This window comes from Homo sapiens, chromosome 1 (assembly GCF_000001405.40).
Source record: "Homo sapiens chromosome 1, GRCh38.p14 Primary Assembly".
Lineage (NCBI taxonomy): Eukaryota > Metazoa > Chordata > Mammalia > Primates > Hominidae > Homo > Homo sapiens.
Genome location: NC_000001.11, coordinates 172,781,575 through 172,783,249, shown reverse-complemented (window position 1 = coordinate 172,783,249; position 1,675 = coordinate 172,781,575). Strand labels below are relative to the sequence as shown.

General features: G+C 38.1%; 1 annotated feature.

Annotated features, from left to right (window-relative positions):
* Positions 1,369–1,438: an enhancer, noted in NCBI's record as "active region_2095". NCBI's record gives its function as "activates an Ori minimal core promoter by ATAC-STARR-seq in GM12878 lymphoblastoid cells {active_cell/tissue: GM12878}" and the evidence as "EXISTENCE:reporter gene assay evidence [ECO:0000049][PMID:35858748]".

Below are 1,675 nucleotides of genomic sequence, written 5' to 3'. Positions count from 1 at the left end.
AATGGCATGAAAACAGACACATAGACAATGAACAGAATAGAGAACTCAAAAACTAATCCACACACCTACAATGAACTCATTTTTGACAAATATGCCAAGAATATACACTGAGGGAAAGACAGTCTCTTCAATAGGGACTGGAAAAACTAAATACTCATATGCAAAATAATGAAACTTGACCCATATCTCTTGCCATGTAAAAAATCAGATCAAAATGGATTAAAGACTTTAATCAAAGACCTCAAACTATGAAACTACTACAAAAAAACATTGGAGAAACTCTCCCGGACATCGGTCTGGGTGGAAATTTCTTGGGTAATATCCCACACACAGGCAACCAAAGCAAACATGGACAAACGGGATCCCATCAAGTTAAAAAGCTTCTGTACAGCAAAGAAAACAATAAACAAAGTGAAGAGACAACCCACAGAATAGGAGAAGATACTTGCAAACTACCCATTTGATTAACAACCAAAATATATAAGGAGCTGAAACAACTCCATAAGAAAAAAAATCTAATAATCTGATTTAAAAATGGGCAAAAGATTTGAATGGACATTTCTAAAAGAAAACTTGCAAATGTCAAAGAGGTGTATGGAAAGGTACCCAACATCATTGATCATCAGAGAAATGCAAATCAAAACTACAATGAGATATCATTTCACCCCAGTTAAAATGCCTTATATCCAAAGACAGGCAATAACAAATGCTGATGAAGATGTGGAGAAAGGGAACCTTCCTACACTGTTGGTGGGAATGTAAATTAGTACAACCACTATGGAGAACAGTTTAGAAGTTCCTCAAAAACTAAAACTAGAACTACCATATTATCCAACAATCCCACTGCTGGGTATATACCCAAAAGAAAGGAAGTCAGTATACTGAAAAGATATCTGCATTCCCATGTTTGTTGCAGCACTGTTCACAATAGGCAAAATTTTGGAAGCAACTTAAATGTCCATCAACAGATGAATGGATTAAAATGTGGTACTTATACACAATGTAGTACTATTTAGCCATAAAAAAAGGATGACATCCTCTCATTTGCAGCAATGTGGATGGAACTGCAGCTCATTATACTAAGTGAAATAAGCCAGGCATAGAAAGAAAAACATCACATGTTCTCACTTACTGGTGGGAGCTAAAAATCGAAACAAGTGAACTTATGGAGATAGAGAGTAGAAGGATGGTTACCAGAGGCTGGGAAAATAAAGAACCACTAAGAAATGGGCATTCAACCCACACAGGATGACCGCTGTCTCCTCACTTACCTCACTTTGTCACACCATCCTTACTCTGGCCTGGAGCCTGTTCATCTATAAAAGGAAGAGCTCACTCAGAACAAGAGCCATGGCCTGGAAGGGACAGTGACCAAATGGGAGGATTTTTGTATGAATAAGATGACCTTCAGGTTTTCCTGTGTTTTCTCATCCCATCATCTCTACCTAGTGTTTTCTTCAGTGAGCACGTTTCTTCATGAGAAAACAGTCCTGCTTTCTCTTCCCGGAATGGACACAGTGCAGGAAACCACACACTGACCTATATGCAAAATTGACCTTGACATATGTGGTTTAGAAGTGTACCAGTCAAGCAGGGGTTGGGTTACTAATCTTAGCAGTATCACTGGACTGTTTTGCTGGTTTTTCATGAGAGTTTTAGAGATAGAAGGGGTTTT